The sequence below is a fragment of the Homo sapiens genome, chromosome X (assembly GCF_000001405.40).
Source record: "Homo sapiens chromosome X, GRCh38.p14 Primary Assembly".
NCBI lineage: Eukaryota > Metazoa > Chordata > Mammalia > Primates > Hominidae > Homo > Homo sapiens.
The window spans coordinates 9442590-9460132 of NC_000023.11; the positions used below are offsets into that span (position 1 = coordinate 9442590).

At 45.2% G+C, this 17543-nt stretch overlaps 1 long non-coding RNA gene across 1 annotated transcript in view, besides 2 other annotated features; it reads right to left on the reverse strand.

Moving 5' to 3' along the window:
* Positions 1 to 935, reverse strand: part of LOC107985634 (uncharacterized) — a 35569-nt gene extending 34634 nt beyond the window's left edge. The window contains exon 1 of the long non-coding RNA XR_001755795.1: positions 778 to 935. This is a non-coding gene — a long non-coding RNA (uncharacterized LOC107985634). The remainder of the gene's footprint in view (positions 1 to 777) is intronic.
* Positions 9529 to 9687: a silencer, noted in NCBI's record as "fragment chrX:9420158-9420316 (GRCh37/hg19 assembly coordinates)". NCBI's record gives its function as "represses an EF-1alpha promoter that drives an FKBP-Casp9 reporter gene in an ReSE screen in phorbol 12-myristate 13-acetate-treated (for megakaryocytic differentiation) K562 erythroleukemia cells {active_cell/tissue: K562(+PMA)}" and the evidence as "EXISTENCE:reporter gene assay evidence [ECO:0000049][PMID:32094911]".
* Positions 16820 to 17114: a silencer, noted in NCBI's record as "tiled region #2097; HepG2 Repressive DNase matched - State 3:PromF". NCBI's record gives its function as "represses a minimal TATA promoter and a strong SV40 promoter by Sharpr-MPRA in HepG2 cells {active_cell/tissue: HepG2}" and the evidence as "EXISTENCE:reporter gene assay evidence [ECO:0000049][PMID:27701403]".

The window sequence follows — 17543 nt, forward strand, 5'->3', positions numbered from 1 at the left end:
TGTACTATACATAGCATGCTGGAAAGGTTGGCATTCTCTGTGAAATAATTGTAGGACACAAGCATATGAGTCTCCTGCCTGCAGCACCCCACTCCCATGCCTCAGTCTCTAACATAAAACTACTAGAGGTGGCTGGTTCCCAAAGTAGCCAAATCCCTGTGACTCATAGGCTTTTCCACCCTCCCTTCTCCCCTTCTTAGACAAGATCCGTTTCCCCCAAGACCACACAAGCCATTTTAGAATTGTCGTTTGAACTCATGATATGTCAATGAACAGAAAGCATAGCACTGTGACTGTCATAAAGAAGAGTCGGCCCTCAGGAGAGGCCCAGCTTGCAGGGTAGAAACGCAAAATGCAGACAGCAGTGGTAACTGATGACACAGACTACACGGCTTCCTCCAGTACAGAGGGTGGCCCCCAAGGCTCAGGGCTGTGAAAGGTCCCGGAGGCCTCACCGAAGCAGTGAGACTTGGACGAAGGGGCGGGAGGGAGACTTGGACGAAGGGGCGGGAGGGAGACTTGGACGAAGGGGCGGGAGGGAGACTTGGAGAGGCAGGGTGATGGCCTTCATGGACAAAGGGAAGATTTGAACAAAGACTTGGCCGCGAGAATACACGTGGCCTTTTTAAAAGACGAGACACAGACCATTTTGTTTAGAAAGATTTGTTTGGAAACGAACATGCAGCGATGTCAACGTTGGTTCACTTGAAAGGGAAGCAAACGGGAAAATAACATCCCACTTTCCTTCAGCCCCCGCCCACAACCCCCGCCTTGTACCTGATCTTCTCCAGCCCAGGAGCAACCACAGTAGACCACTGAGACGTCTCCCCACGTCTTTCCATCATATCTTTTTTCCCAGCCAGCCCTAACGGAACCCAGGTGGTTCCTTCAACGGGTCCCACGCGGCGCGGGGCGGAGGGAGGGGGACTAACTCTGGGCATTCTGTCTCTCCGTAGTTTGGTTCCCATCATGCCCCTCTCCCAAGGTCCTGTCATGGCCGCTCTCTTAAAGCAGTTTTCCATTATGCCCCTCTCCCGAGGGAGTTTCCCGCCATGGCCGCGTCCCAAAACAGTTTCCAGTCGGCCGGGTGCAGTGGCTCACGCCTTAATCCCAACACTTTGGGAGGCTGAGGGGGGCGGATCACGAGGTCAGGAGATGGAGACCATCCTGGCTAACACGGTGAAACCCCGTCTCTACTAAAAAAAATAATAATAATAAATAAATAAATAAATAAAATTAGCTGGGCGTGTTGGTGCACGCTTGTAATCCCAGCTTCTTGGGAAGCTGAGGCAGGAGAATGGCGTGAACCCGGGAGGCGGAGCTTGCAGTGAGCCGAGATCGCGCCACTGCACGACAGAGCAGCCTGGGCGACAGAGCGAGACTCCGTCTCAAAAAATAAATAAATAAATAAATAAAACAGTTTCCAGTCATGCCCCCTTCTCAAAGAAGTTTCCCGTCGTGTCTCTCTTCCTTGCCCCTCCCCACTCTTCCTTCATTTATTTATTTATTTATTTATTTATTTATTTAAGACAGGGTCTTGATCTGTCGCCCAGGCTAGAGTGCATTGGGGAGAATATGGCTCACTGCAGTTTCAATCTCCGAGTTCAAGCGATCCTCCCACCTCAGCCTCCCTAGTAGCTGGGACGACAGGGTATGCCACCATGCCCGGCTAATTTTTGTAGTTTTTGTAGAGACAGGGTTTCACTATGTCAGCCAGGCTGGTCTGGAACTCCTGGGTTCAAGTGATCTGCCCACTTCGGCCTCCCAAAGTGCTGGGATTGCAGGGCGAGCCATGGAGCCCGGCCCCTCCCCACTCTTCAAAACCCTCGGCTCCAGCTCTGAAGCAGAGCTCCTCCCTCGTTTGTATCCTCACTTAGTGTATCATACTCTTGGAATAACTACTCAACCAATCAAAGAAAGGACATTTTTCCCCACCCAGGTATACCTTGGGCATCACGAATGATGCGGGGACATCATGGACCTTCCAACTCAGCCAGGCAGAAGGAGGTGTAAAGTGAAAGCCTCAGCTGGGATACGAGGCAGGATGTGCTAAGTTCCCCATGGTTGGTAGAGGCCCCAAGCGCTCCCTGATACTCAGAAAAGACAGGAATAGCTGAGTGCCGCTGGAAAAGCAGGCAGGAAGTGAAGTAGGTGGGGAGGGGCAGGAGATTGTTACAGTTACAGGAGCAACCCGAGAGAACAAAGACACCACGGTTAAAGCTGGCTAAAGTCAGAGGCGATTCAGAGACTGTCAGAATAATCCAGTTATGGGGAAAGAGGTCCTGAGCAGGGGCAGTGGAGCTAGAAGGAAAGGGCAGGTGATAACGGCTGGCAAAGGCAGGAGGAGCTGGATGGGAAGCTTGTGGGGACTTGTTGGGATTGGTGGGGAGGAGAATAGTTACAGAAGGTTTCAAGGCTAAGGTTTGGGTAACTTGGAGAAGGTTGTCTATCTGACAAAAGTTGGAAATTCAGTAACAGGGACAGAGTTTCCTTGGGTGAAGGGTGAGATCTGGGCCAGATCATCACTAGGAGTCCACAGATACAGCCCCAAGCCCCTAGGGTGGAGTCGCACTCCTTCCACAGAGGAAAAGGAGACAGCAACAGGACACACAGAAGAATCATAACCTGCTACTAGGCATGACGTGGGACCCCTGTCACATTTGTTTATGGAACACTTAGCTCTTTGGGGTTCCCAGGGACTAAAGTGTGTGCCTCAAAACACACCCTAACGGCCGGGTGCAGTGGCTCACGCCTGTAATCCCAGCACTTTGGGAGGCCGAGGCGGGCAGATCACGAGATCAGGAGATTGACAACATCCTGGCTAACATGGGGAAACCCCGTCTCTACTAAAAATACAAAAAATTAGCCGGGCGTGGTGGCACATGCCTGTAGTCCCAGCTACTCGGGAGGCTGAGGCAGGAGAATCACTTGAACCCGCGAGGCAGAGGTTGCAGTGAGCCTAGATCGCGCCAATGCACTCCAGCCTGGGCGACAGAGCGAGACTCTGTCTCAAAAAAAGAAAAAGCAAAAAAAACACACCCTAAGATGCTGCCTGTTTCTCTAAACAGGCTAAATGATGCATTAGCTTCAGCCGAATCGTTCTCACCAGTGGAAATGGTGACCTGCTTCTAGTGACGCACCCTGTGTGCAGAGCTGCATGGCTTCTCAGCAAGGCCACAGCCTCTCGGCGTCCTCAATGGCCGTGGCAGTGGGAACAAAGATGTGAGCGCTGGTGTCCTTGGTCCTCCCTGTCTACTCTCTCCAACCCAATGGCCAGTAAGGGTCTCATACCTGCTTTGGTTCTTGGAGAAGGCCAGGGACTGAGTAAGTGCTGGTAGACCGTGAGCACATGTCAGACATTCCCCACCATAATCTCCCAGAAACCCAGCCAGCAGATGAAAGCAGGTGAAAGGAAAGGAAGCGATAGAAAGAGTTCCTGCCAGGGAACAGGCGTGTGCTGTTTTGAGTTTTCCAGACCCGCACTGCAGTGGAGATTGTGGAATTTGCAGGCCTCAACATGTTGGTGAACACAATTTCTTCAATTATCCTCGGTAATTTATGGTGGACTATCATGAAGTCACACTAGATGTGCCTTTGAAAATTAGATGGTTTTCTCCTTTCATTTTAATATTTCTGCATTTCATTGAATAAAATTATAAATAGGGCAATTTCAAAAAGAAAGGAATACAGAATAGCAAACTTTTAGAACACCCATTAGGCAAAGTCCAAACTTAGAAAAATAGATATGTAAATCCTCGTGAGACGATTAACCTTCACCCCAAACACACACACTCATTTCTACTATTTATCACTCAGAACTTTTATGAGAGTTAAGAGTTTCTCCTAAGACTCAGGGATCATTTCTATAGTTTGTTACTAGAGAAGTTTCTCTGGATGTGTAGAGCACCGTAAAATAAAAGGAAAATGAAAAAAGAATAAAAAATTTTTAAAAAAGAGCTTGTCTCCTAAGAGATGATAAGTTTCTAGAAGATAAGGCTGTGTCTTTTTTTTTAATTTTTTCCCCCACAAATCCATAAAATGTACTCAGTGAATGTTTGTTTGATCAGAATTAAATTTGTATTACTAAAAGGGTTTTTGTTTTCAGCTTGTTTATTTTTGCTAGAGGAGCCAGTGAGTTGCTATTTTAAGAATAGCTTTGAATCATGACTTAGGAAGTCAGAATTGTATTAAATGAAGTAGTATCTAAAAACTTCCAGATCCATTAGAAATTATAACTAATGCAATTTGAAAAGAGAGTTGGATCATTCATTTTATACAAGTCTCTGTTTTCAATGACTTTCATATAAATGAACCCTAACAAAAATTTTTACCTACTTTTTGATTAACTTATCCAATGGTATTTCCGCTCTAAAGTATTTTACATGGCAAATAAAATATACAACTTTGGGCTGGGCACTGTGGCTCATACCTGTAATCCCAGCACTTTGGGAGGCCGAGGCGGGTGGATCACCTGAGGTCAGGAGTTCGAGACCAGCCTGGACAACATGGGGAAACCCCGTCTCTACTAAAAATACAAAAATTAGCCGGGAGTTGTGGCGGCACCTGTAATCCCAGCTACTCGGGAGGCTGAAGCAGAAGAATCGCTTAAACCCAAGAGGCAGAGGTTGCAGTGAGCTGAGATCGTGCCATTGCATTCTAGCCTGGGCAACAAGAGTGAAATTCTGTCTAAAAAAACTTTATGCTTGTAACTACATTTCTGTCATATTTATATAGCTTCTGAAATTTGCCCATAGGTTCTGGCAAAGTTGTTTTTTTCTTACACCAAGTGAACTTACAGTTAAAAAAAATAGAAAGTATTTAAACCTGAATGATTTCTGAGGTTGTAGCAGAAGGATCTCCCAAAGGAGGAAAAAAAAACCCTTACCTTCTCCTTATGTGCAGTCTCTTTCACAAATACATAATTTAATAAGGATTTGTGTAAATTTACCTTGTATTTTTTTTTTAGCTAAATTAGTTTTACATATAATATCTAATGCAATTTTCTCACGAAAGTGGGAAGGTACTATTATTACTATTATTATTAGTATCCCTTCCTTATTTACAAACAGAAAATCTTGGAATTCAGAAGGACAAAGCTGCATAATTTGCTCCAGCTACACAGCTACTAAGTGGCAAAGCCAGGTGTCTGGATTCCAACGTTCACGGTCTGGTCCAGTGTAAAACATTTACACTTGGATCCCTTACAAGTCTATAAGTGCTTTATTGAGTATGCTTAAGTAGAAAAATAATTCCTGAAAACTCAGTTCAAAATTAAATCCTTGGAGCTTACACAGTAAAATTCAACTTTCACTTTTGTGGGCCAAGAACTCCTGCTTAGGTGCCCTGGAACAGGAACCCCAGTGCCTTGCTGACAAATGGTCTTCATAGAACACAAATGGCCCTTCGTCATGCTAGAACCAATTGTATCACTTGTGTGTATCTAAGAAACCCAAGGCAGTTCTCCAATCCTGATAGACCAGTCAGGATTCAACCAGACAACTGGAACCAGTAGAAGATACATGCTAGATTTATTGCAAGGAATTGGCTTATGTCATTGGGTGGGGCTGGGCAGGCAGGCCTGAAATTTGTAGGGAAGACAGTTAAGAAGGCAGACTGGAACTCTCTTGGGCACTGGCTGTTCACAGGAGGAATTTCTTCTTCCTTAGGGAAGCCTCAGTCCTGCTATAGAGGCCTTTCACCTGATTATCCAAGATAATCTCTCCCCCGGCTTAAAGTCAACTGATTATGGACCTTATTTACATCTCAAAACAGCCTGGAAGCAACACCTAGATTAGTGTTTGTAGTGGGTTGGATTGTGTATCCTTAAAAAGATAAGTTCAAGTTCTAACCCCTGGTACCTGTGAACGGGGCTTTATTCGGAAATAAGGTCTTTGCTGATGTGATCAAGTTGAATGAAGGCTATACTGAATTAAGGGAGGCGGTAAATCCATTAACTGGATAACCTGTGTCTTTATAAGAGAAAGAAGAGGGAGATCTGGACACACACACACATACAGGGAGGGAGAAGGCCATGTGAAGATGGTGGCAGATATTGGAGTGATGCAGCTACTAAGCAAGGAACACCAAGGACTGCCAGCTGTCATCGGGAGCTGGAAGAGACAGGGAAGCATCCTCCCCTAGAGCCTTCAGAGGGAACATGGCCCTGCCAACATCTTGACTTCAGACTTCTGGCCTTCAGAAATCTGACAGAATAAATTTATGTTGTCTTAAGCCATCTAGTTTGTGGTTCCCTGTTTGAGCGGCCCTAGAGAATGAAAATGGTATTTGATGGAATAACTGAGGATTGTGGCCTAGGCAAGCGGACACATCAAAAGACCACCACCTCTCCATTCCCTTCTCTTCTCCTTTCCCTTCCTTTCCCTCCTTTCCCCTTCCCTTCCATCTCCTCCCCTTCCATCCCCTCCCCTTCCTTTCCCTTCCCTTCCCTCCATCTCAACCCTCTTCATGTCCACTGAGCTCATATTCTGGCTGGGGGAACAGACAATTAAAACTAATGAGCAAGCCAGGCGCAGTGGCTCATGGCTGTAATCCCAGCACTTTGGGAGGCTGAGGCAGGAAGATCACTTGAGGCCTGAAGTTCGAAACAAGCCTGGGCAACATGGCAAACCCCATCTTTACCAAAAAATACAAAAATTAGCTGGCCATGTTGGTGCTCGTTAGTAAACCTAGCTACTCAGGAGGCTGAGATGGGAAGATGGCTTGAGCCTGGGAGGCCAGGGTTGCAGTGAGCCATGGTCAAACCACTGCACTCCAGCCCAGGAGACAGAGCCAGACCCTGTCTCAAGAAACAAAAACAAAAAACTAATGAGCAAATGAACATGAACATGTTAGCCCATGAAAGAAAGACTGGTGAAGAGGGAGGGAGAGGGCACCCATCAGAGCAGAGACCGAAATGCTCGGAGAAGCCTGGGGTCCCTCCTGGAGGAGACGTCCTCACAGAAGCAGCACTGGGTGCAGGTGACAAGAAGCTGCAAACATTCAGGGAACAGCACAAGCATGTTGAGGAGTGGGTGTGCAGGGAAGAAAGAAGAGCAGGGAAAATGGGAGGAGATGGAGTCTTCTACCACTGTATTTTTGTTGTTGTTTTTATGAGACAGGGTCTTGTCTGTTACCAAGCTGGAGTGCAGTGGTGCAATCATGGCTCACTGCAGCCTTGACCTCCTGGTCTCAAATGATCCCACCTCAGCTTCCCAAGTAGCTGGGAACCACAGGCGCACCACCACACCCTGATAATTATTTTAAAATTGTTTTTGTAGAGATGGAGTCTCACTATGTTGCCCAGGATGGTCTTGAACTTCGGGACTCAATAGATCCTCCCACGTCAGCCTCCCGAAGTGCTTGGATTATAGGCATGAGCCACCACACCCAGCTTCTACCACTTGTTGGTTTTTAATTTGCATAGTGACACCTTTTCTCAAAAAAAATGCAATTGTACATGTGTGTAGTATAGAAATTTTGTATGTTTCAAAATAATTATCTTTCAAATCAGCTGCAGTGCAGCATTCTAATTTTTTAAGCAAACTTGTAAAATGTTAGAATAGTTTCAGTTACAGAAAGATAAGATTGAGAGTTCCTGTGTATAATTCAGTTTCTCCATTGTTAAAGCCTTATGCCTCCATAGTACTTTTGTTACAACTATGAAACTGATCTTGGTACATAACTAATAACTCAATGCCCAGTTTTTCCATGTATGTCCTTTTTCTGTCCTAGGGCCCCATCCAGGATTATACATTGCATTAAGTCATCGTATCACCTTGGGCTCCTCTGGGCTGTGACTGGCTCACCATGCTTCCTTGTCTTTGATGCCCTCGATAGTTTGGAGCAGTGCTGATTGGGTATTTTGTGGAATCTCCTTCAGTTTAGGTTTGTATGATGCCTTCTCATGATTGGACTGGGGTTGTGGATGTTTGGACATTCTTAGGTTTTTATTTACAGCATTTCATTGCATACCTAATGTTTCAACAAACATTAATCTATCTTAAAAATAGAATCACATATTTAATGCAGTTATTGTAATGTCTATCTTTGTCCCCTTTATACAAAAATACAGAAAACCAGGAGAGAGGCAGCCACCATTTCATATTCTTAGCTCATACGTGAAACCTTTCCATTTTAAACTTCTGGGAAGAACTTTAACATTAAAAATTCAAACCACTTTGAAATTATGTAGTCAACTGAAAAAGTTTATTTTAGTCATCTAAAGGGACCTGTGCAAAGGAAAACTACTCTTTTAGAAGCATACTTCTTTTTTTTTTTTTTTTTTTTTTTTTTTTTTTGAGACGGCGTTTCGCTCTTGTTGCCCAGGCTGGAGTGCAATGGCACGATCTTGGCTCACCGCAACCTCCGCCTCCTGGATTCAAGTTATTCTCTCTCCTGCCTCAGCCTCCCAAGTAGCTGGGATTACAGGCATGCACCACCACGCCTGGCTAATTTTGTATTTTTAGTAGAGACGGGGTTTCTCCATGTTGGTCAGGCTGGTCTCAAACTCCCGACCTCAAGTGATCTGCCCGCCTTGGCCCCGCAAAGTGCTGGGATTACAGGCGTGAGCCACCGCGCCTGGCCAGAAGCATACTTATTTTTCTCCCATTCCAGAAAACATTCCTTGCCTGGTGCCCTGACCGTTGCTGAAACCATTCCTTGAAACGTCTCTACCTGCTGATGTCAATCCGCCCAACATCCATGCAGTTGGATAGCTGTGTGCTGCTGCAACCTTTTGTGAGTGGGGGGAGTTTTATTTTAAATAGTTATCTCTGGCCGGGCGTGGTGGCTCATGCTTGTCATCTCAGCACATTGCGAGGCTGAGGTGGGTGGATCACTTGAGGTCGAGAGTTCGAGACCAACCTGGCCAACACGGTGAAACTCCATCTGTACTGAAAATACAAAAATTAGCCAGGCATGGTGGCGCACGCCTGTAATCCCAGCTACTTGGGAAGCTGAAACACAAGAATTGCTTGAACCTGGGAGATGGAGGTTGCAGTGAGCTGAGATTGCGTCACTGTACTCCAGCCTGGGCGACAGAGCAGACTCCATCTCAAATAAATAAATAAATACACAAATAAATAAATAGTTATCTCTAAAAACGTGATCAATTCTCACTAATATCTCAGAAGTATACTAAAATGTCCTTTCCCTTCCCTCCCTTCCCTCAGGGACATTTCAAAATTTCTATAAGACCTGTATCTGGTCTTATCAAATGGCTGTGCTCTAGTGAAAATAACAACAAACCTTAAAGGCCTCCTTACACAGGTACTGGGGGAAAGGCTGGGCTCTAATTCCATGTAGCTTTACTGTGCCTTTCTCAAATTTGCTAAAATTCAAGCTTTTAGTGTACAGTTGGCCCTCTGTATCCATGGCTTCCACATGCGTGAATTCAGCCAACTTCAAATCAAAAATACTTGAAAAAAAATGGATGGTTGCGTCTGCACTGAGAATGTACAGACTTTTATTCTTATCATTATTCCCTAAACAATACACTATAACAACTATTTGCACAACACTTACACTGTATTAGGTATTATAACTAATCTAGAGATGATCTAAATTATACAGGAGGCTGAATGAGGTGGCTCATGCTGTCATCCCAGCACTTTAGGGGAGGCCAAGGCAGGTGGATCACTTGAGGCCAAGAGTTTGAGACCAGCCTAGGCAACATAGCAAGACCCTGTTTCTGCAGAAAATACAAAAATTAGCTTGGGTGTGGTGGCACATACCTGTAGTCCCAGCTACTCAGGAGGCTGAGGTGGGAGGATGACTTGAGCCAGGAGTTCAAGGCTACAGTGACCTATGATTGCAACATTGTACTTCAGCCTGGGCGATGGAACAAGACCCTGTCTATAAATATAATATGTCAATATGGCCGGGCACGGTGGCTCACGCCTGTAATCCCAGCACTTTGGTAGGCCTAGGCGGGCAGATCCCCTGAGGTCAGGAGTTCAAGACCAGCCTGGCCAACATGGGGAAACCCCGTCTCTACTAAAAATACAAAACTTAGCTGGGCGTGGTGGCGTGCACCTGTAATCCCAGCTACCCAGGAGGCTGAGGAAGGAGAATCGCTGGAACCCGGGAGGCAGAGGCTGCAGTGAGCCAAGATCGTGCCACTGCACTCCAGCCTGGGTGACAACAGAGCAAGACTCCGTCTCAAAAAAAAAAAAAGAAAGAAAAGAAAAAAAGAATACATTAATTAACTAAATAAAATAAAAATAAATTATACAGGAAGATGTGCATAGGTTATATGCAAATACTGTGCCATTTTATATCAGGGACATGAGCATCCGTGGATTTTCGTATCTGCAGAGAGTTCTGCAACCAATCCCCTGTGGATACTGAGAGACGACTATACAGTTCTATGAGTTTTGACCAACATTGACAGTTTTGCAACCAGCACTACCATCAAGATACAGAACAGCTCAGTCCCTCAAAAATATCCCCCCATGATCCTTTGTAGTCAACCTTTTCCCCAACCTACTCTCAATCCCAACAATGGAGGGTCTTTCTGTCCCAGTAGTTTTGCCTGTTCCAGAATGCCATATGAAACCATGGAATATGGCAGAGTGTGGTGGCTCACATCTGTAATCCCAGCACTTTGGGAAGCCGAGGTGGAAGGATCGCTTGATCCCAGGAGTTCAAGATCAGCTTGGGCAAGATAGCAAGACCCCATCTCTACAAAACAGAAACAAAACACAAAACCATGGAATATGTCACCTTTGAATCTGAATTCCTTCACTCAGCCATTTACATTTGAGATTCATCCATGCTGTTGCACAGATCAATAGCTTCCTCCTTTTCAGTGTTCATGGAGTCAACACTGAAAAGTGTATATCCGTACAAGGGGATATATCCATATCCATATCCATGTCCCTTTGTATGGACATACTGCAGTTTATTTATCCCTTCACCAGTTGAAGGACACCTGGATTGTTTCCAGGTTTTGGCAACTATGAATAAAGGTTTCTGCATACAAGTTTTTGCAGGAAGCTAAGCTTTCACTTCTCTTGGGTATACATGTAGGAAGGGGGCTGTCAGGGTATATTACACATGATGTGTGTCCCATCTTATCAAGTGCCTGCTGATTCTGTAAAAGTAATAACATCAAAGAGGCCTTGTGACAAAGGCGCTGGAGAAAAACGCCACGTTCCACTCCCATTGAGTTTCACTTGTGCTTTTCTTAAAGAAATTTCTTTTTTTTTTTGAGATGGAGTCTCGCTCTGTCACCCAGGCTGGAATGTGGTGGCGCAATCTCAGCTCACTGCAACCTCTGCCTCCCGGGTTCAAGCGATTCTCCTGCCTCAGCCTCCCGAGTAGCTGGGACTACAGGCACGTGCCACCATGCCCGGCTAATTTTTGTATTTTTTGTAGAGATAGGGTTTCACCATGTTGGCCAGGCTGGTCTCGAACTCCTGGCCTCAGGTGATCCACCTGCCTCGGGGATTTTCTTTGTTAATGTGGTGTGGAGCTTCACTGTGTGGGAGATGAATTTTTGTGAAGAAACTGTCTATAAAATCCTCCTGTCTCCCATGCTTATTCTCTACAGCCAGTGTTAAAAGTTAAGCATGAAATGCAGAAGTGTCGTCGGGCGTGGTGGCTCCTGCCTGTAATCCCAGCACTTTGGGAGGCCGAGGTGTGGGGATCACAAGGTCAGGAGTTCGAGACCAGCCTGACCAACATGATGAAACCCCATCTCTACTAAAAATACAAAAATTAGCCGGGTGTGGTGGCGTGCGCCCGTAATCCCAGCAACTCGGGAGGCTGAGACAGGAGAATCGCTTGAAACCGGGAGGCAGAGGTTGCAGTGAGTGCATTGAGCCGAGATTGTGCCACTACACTCCAGCCTGGGGGACAGAGTGAGACTCTGTCTCAAAAAAAAAAAAAAAAAAAGAAATGCAGAAGTGGAAACAAATGGTGGGGTGGGGGAGAAGTACATAACTTCTTTTTTTTTTTTTTGAGACCGAGTCCGTTCTGTCGCCCAGGCTAGAGTGTAGTGGCACAATCTCTGCTCACTGCACTTACTGCAACCTCCGCCTCCCAGTTTCAAGCGATTATCCTGTCTCAGCCTCCCGAGTAGCTGGGATTACAGCTGCCCACCACCACACCGGCTAATTTTTGTACTTTTAGTAGAGACGGGGTTTCACCATGTTGGCCAGGCTGTTCTCGAACTCCTGACCTCAAGTGATCCGCCTGCCTCGGCCTCCCAAAGTGCTGGGATTACAGGCCCATAACTTCTTTCAAGGAAATATGGTTACCAAAAGAAAGGCGGGAAGGGGAGGAAACCCTTGAAAAGGATAATCTCTCTTATTTTGTAGCTATAACAGCCACGTGTTATTTGAGGGAAATTGCAACTCTTGCCTGTCATGTGCTCTTTGAGTAAACACAGGCAGCATTTTGTATTTATTTGATTTTTGGTTTGCTTTCCATGTTGGTGAAAGTGGGCTCTGAACACGTTCACCCCTTGAGAGACACCAAGGTTGGTGTGAGGTGGGCTGTGGGTTTTGGAATCAGAGGAGCTGGATTTGTATGTGTTCTGCCCCCTTTTAGTGGGAGACATTCTACAAGCCCACTGTGGAAGGCAGAATGTGGTCCCCTGAAATCGTCCGTGCTGGGATCCCTGGGAACCTGTGAAGACATCACCTTCCATTGCAAAAGGGACTACAGATGTGACTAACATGAAGAGCTCTACAATGGAGAGATTATTCTGGATTATACAGGCTATAAATCCTGGGTTACACAGGATCTTTAAACATAGAGGAAGGTAGAAGAAGAGGAGGTCAAAATAATGCTATTTAAGAGGGACTTGACCTTCTGTTGCTGGCTTGAAGATGGAGGAAGGAGGTCCCGTGCCAAGGAATGCCGGCAGTCTCTAGACACTGGGCAAAGTCAGGAAACAGATTTTCCCCTAGAGCCACAGAAAGAATTTCTTCCTCTTCCCCTTCCCCTTCCTCTCCTTCTCCTTCTCCTTCTTCTTCCTCCTCCTTCTCCTCCTCTCCTTCTCCTTCTTCTCCTCCTTCTCCTTCTTCTCCTTCTTCGCCTTCTTCTTCCCCTTCCCCTCCTTCTCCCTCCCTCCCTCTCTCTCTTTCTTTCTTCTCTCCTCCTCCTCCTTTCTCCTTCTCTTTCTACTTTTTTTTTTTTTTTTGAGATAGAGTCTCATTCTGTCCCCCATGCTAGAGTGCAATGACACGATCACAGCTCACTGCACCCTCGACCTCCTGGACTCCAGCAATCCTCCCACCTCAGCCTCCCACGTACCTGGGAGTACAGGCACATGCCACCATGCCTGGCTAATTGTTTTCATTTTTTTAAAGATGGGGTCTTCTTATGTTGACCAGGGTGGTCTCAAGCTCCTGGGCTCAAGCGACCTTCCTGCCTTAGCCTCCCAAAGTGCTGGGATTGCAGGCGTGAACCACCATGCCCAGCCGTGGAACACAGTTTTGCTGACACCTTGATATTATCTAATGTGTTAGTCAGGGCTCTCCGGAGAAACAGAACCAATATTATATACATACATATATATATATATATATATATATATATATATAGAGAGAGAGAGAGAGAGAGAGAGAGAGACAGAGAGAGACAGAGAGAGAGAGAGAGATTTATTATTAAGGTATTGGCTCATGAGATTATGGAGGCTGAGAAGTCTGTGATCTGCTATCTGCAAGCTGCAAGGCTAGCGGTATAGTTTAAAAGCCTGAGAGCTAGAGGGCCAATGGTGTAGACTCCAATTTGGGTCTGAAGGCCTGAGCACCCGAAGTATAGAGGGCACATCAATGTCTCAGCTCAACAGTCAGGCAAAGGGAGGGCAAATCCAGCCATGCTCTGCCTTTGTGTTCTGTTCAGGCCCTCAGTGGCTCAGAGGGTGCTCACCCGCACTGAGGAGGGTGATCTGCTTTACCCAGTTCAGCGATTCAAATGCTAAATCTCATCTGGAAACACCCTGAAAGACACATCCAGAAATAATGTTTAATCAGTTATGTGGACATCCTGAGGCCTAGTCAAGTTGACATGCAGAATTAACCATCACCCCCAGTGACACCCATTTGGGATTTTTGACCTCCAGAACCATCAGATAATACATGTGTGCTGTTTTAAACCACTAAGTGTGTGGCAATTTGTTACAGCAGTGACAGGAAACTAACCCAGCCACTAACCTCTCTGAGAGTCAACTTTTCTCCCTTGTAAAATGAATATGATCATGACAATATTTCCCCAACCACTTCATACGTTACTATGACAATCAGTGACAGAATGTTTGAAAATGTTTCGAAACTATAAAAGCTTTGCCAGATCGAAAACAAAATCTGCTGCTCCCTTTGATCTAGTACTTTTCCTACCCACTCAGCTCTTCCTTTGCTGGCCGGCTTCTGCATCTCCTAGGGTACATTTGATTTGGCCAATCTTTCCAATGACCTTTACCTTTTCTAAATGGGGGGCTGGGCCCCAGGCACTGACCATTTCTGCTCTTTAGAATCCATCATCATCACCAAACAGAATGAGCTTTATCTAACATTTTGGTATTTTGTTCACAATGGAGTTTTTGCATCACTTTTGAGTTTTAAAATACGGCATTATAATATTATTTATCTTGATGACTGCATTTAGAGATGACAACCTCATCTCTATAAAAAATAAAAAATTAGGCCTGGCGCAGTGGCTCACACCTATATAATCCCAGCACTGTGGGAGGCCGAGGCGGGCAGATCACCTGGGGTCAGGAGTTCCAGACCAGCCTGGGCAACAGGGTGAAACCCTGTCTCTACTAAAAATACAAAAATTAGCCAGGCGTGGTGGCACGTGGCTGCAATCCCAGCTACTTGGGAGGTTGAGGCGGGAGAATCACTTGAACCCAGGAGGCGGAGGTTGCAGTGAGTCGAGATCACGCCACTGCACTCCAGTCTGGGCGACACAGCGAGACTCCATCTCAAAAATGAATAAATAAATAAATAAATAAATAAATAAATAAATAAATAATTAACCGGGCATGGTAGCGCATGCTTGTAGTCTCAGCTACTCGGGAGGCTGAGGCAAGAGGATGGCTTGAGCCTGGTTGGGGGTTGGAGTCTGCAGTGAGCTGTGATTGTGCCACTGTACTCCAGTTTGGGTGACAGAGTGAGACCGTGTCTCAAAAAAAAAGAAGAGAAAAGAAAAGAAAGAAATCTGATGTGTGTTCCAAGCAGGTTGCTGTGGAAGCAGATTTTTGTTTTGTTTGGTCTCATGACTACTTTGAAATGATGGAACTTATTAGAATCACCTCTACAGTCTGAATTGAATGTATTGAAAAAGCAGCACATATATTACTATATCAGAATTTTAAAAAATATTGGATGACTATGTTTTAACACAATTGGGTTTCTTTGTAATCTTATGCATTATTTGATGTATCAATGCATTATTTTACGCATTTAGAAACAATATTCACTAAATTGCTGAAGGAGGTCTGAAGCATAGACATATTATGATTCTTTCCCTCAATTCTTTTTTTTTTAAATTTTCTACTTCCAGTTTATTTATTTTATTTATTTATTTTGAGACAGGTTCTCGCTCTGTCATCCAGGCTGGAGTGCAGTGGTATGATCTCAGCTCACTGCAAACTCCGCCTCCCAGGCTTAAGTGATACTTTCACCTCAACCTCCTGAGTAGCTGGGACTACAGGCATGCGCCACCACATCCGGCTATTTGTATTTTTGTAGAGACGGGGTTTTGCCACATTGCCCAGGCGGGTCTGGAACTCCTGGGCTCAAGTGATCCGCCCGCCTTGGCCTCCCGAAGTGCTGGGATTACAGCCGTGAGCCACTGCGCTCGGCCCTTCTCTCAATTCTTTAACCTTTTGAGTTCAATTTTATCCTCTGAATATTGGGCCTTCAGGGAGGACCTGGAAGAATCAAATATGATACTGTACATGAACACCTCCATGCCAAATGCAAAGTACTTTCAGGATTCAAATGATAACTAAATGCAAAATTTGAAATGAAAAAAGAAAAATAGCAATAGCTCACATGCATTAGTCTGCTGAGTCTGCTGTAATAGAGTGGGTTGCTTAAACACCACCCATTTATTTTCTCACAGTCCTGGAGGATAAAGTCCAAGGTCAAGGTGTTAGCAGGGTTGGGTTATTCTCAGGCCTCTATCCTTGGCTTATAGATGACTGATTTCTCCCTGTGCGTGTCTGTGTCCTAATCTCCTTTTCTTAAAAGGACTCCAGTCAGATTGGATTAGAGCCTACCCAAATGACCTCATTTTACCTTAATTACCTTCTTAAAGGCCCTATCTCCAAATACAGTCACATTCTAAGGTACTGGGGATCAGGACTTCAACATACAAATTTTTGTGAGGACACTATTCAGCCTGGCCCATAACATCAGGGAAAACAAACAAAACAAAACAAAAAACGAAAAGAAGTATTGGGTGGCTACCTAGGTCAAGGGATACAAAAGGGGTTTTCATCCACCTTATCTCAGCTCCATGACAGGTGATAGGCCTTTTTATCTTCACTCCTTTTTGTATACCTCTCTAAGTAGGACCTCACATAATGCCACCTATACAAGTGGCTTCCTTCATAGTTTTGGTTCTAGTCTCTCTAAGGAAAATTAGAAGCAAAATTCAAAAGCAAAGAAAGATCAGATGTTTGTAAGTGAAGTTGAAAAGTCCATCCCCCCTTCCTCATCTCATATGGGAAGCTCGTGGTGGGTGCTTATTCAGAGAAAAGTCACATCTATAAACATCAAGGAAAGATCATCACTTCCAGCATGCCTTCAATTTCAATATCTTGGGAGAGCAAGAATGGACTTTTGTGCAGCCTACACATATATCTGGAGGTTGCCAAACAACACTACCATGAGCTTCCCACACTAGATCAGTTCAGGAAACAGATATGAATAATTTGCTTTATCATGAGTGGTTCTTTATGTATAGCAGCTAGTGAATACCATTGTCATTTAAAGCAAACTTGGACTTTACTTTGACTTTGTACCTAGGGACCTATTTGCACTGTCTGGTCTTTCTTTTGAGTCATATAACAGTCATATCACATGAAAAGTTAGGGATATCATTCGGCCTCTCTCCTCTCTAAACAGATGATAAGATCTACTTAAACTTTGGTTAAAAAAAATGGAGTAGAAGGCCAGGAGTAGTGGCTCACGCCTGTAATCCTAACACTTTGGGAGGCCGAGAAGGGTGGACCACCTGAGGTCAAGAGTTAGAGACCAGCCTGGCCAATATGGTGAAACCCCGTCTCTACTAAAAATGCAAAAATTAGCTGGGCATGGTTGTGGGCGCCTGTAATCCCAGCTACTCGGGAGGCTGAGGCAGGAGAATCGCTTGAACCGGGAGGTGGAGTTTGCAGTGAGCTGAGATTGTGCCATTGCACTCCAGCCTGGGCCACAGAGCAAGACTCCGTCTAAAAAAAAAAAAATGGAGTAGGAAAGGGGCAGGCATGAAGATTGTAATCTAACAGTGAGGCAAGTGGATCCCAGGAATTTGGGTCAATCCTTGGAAGATCAGGGATTTCTGACTAGGCCAGTCATGGAAGCAAG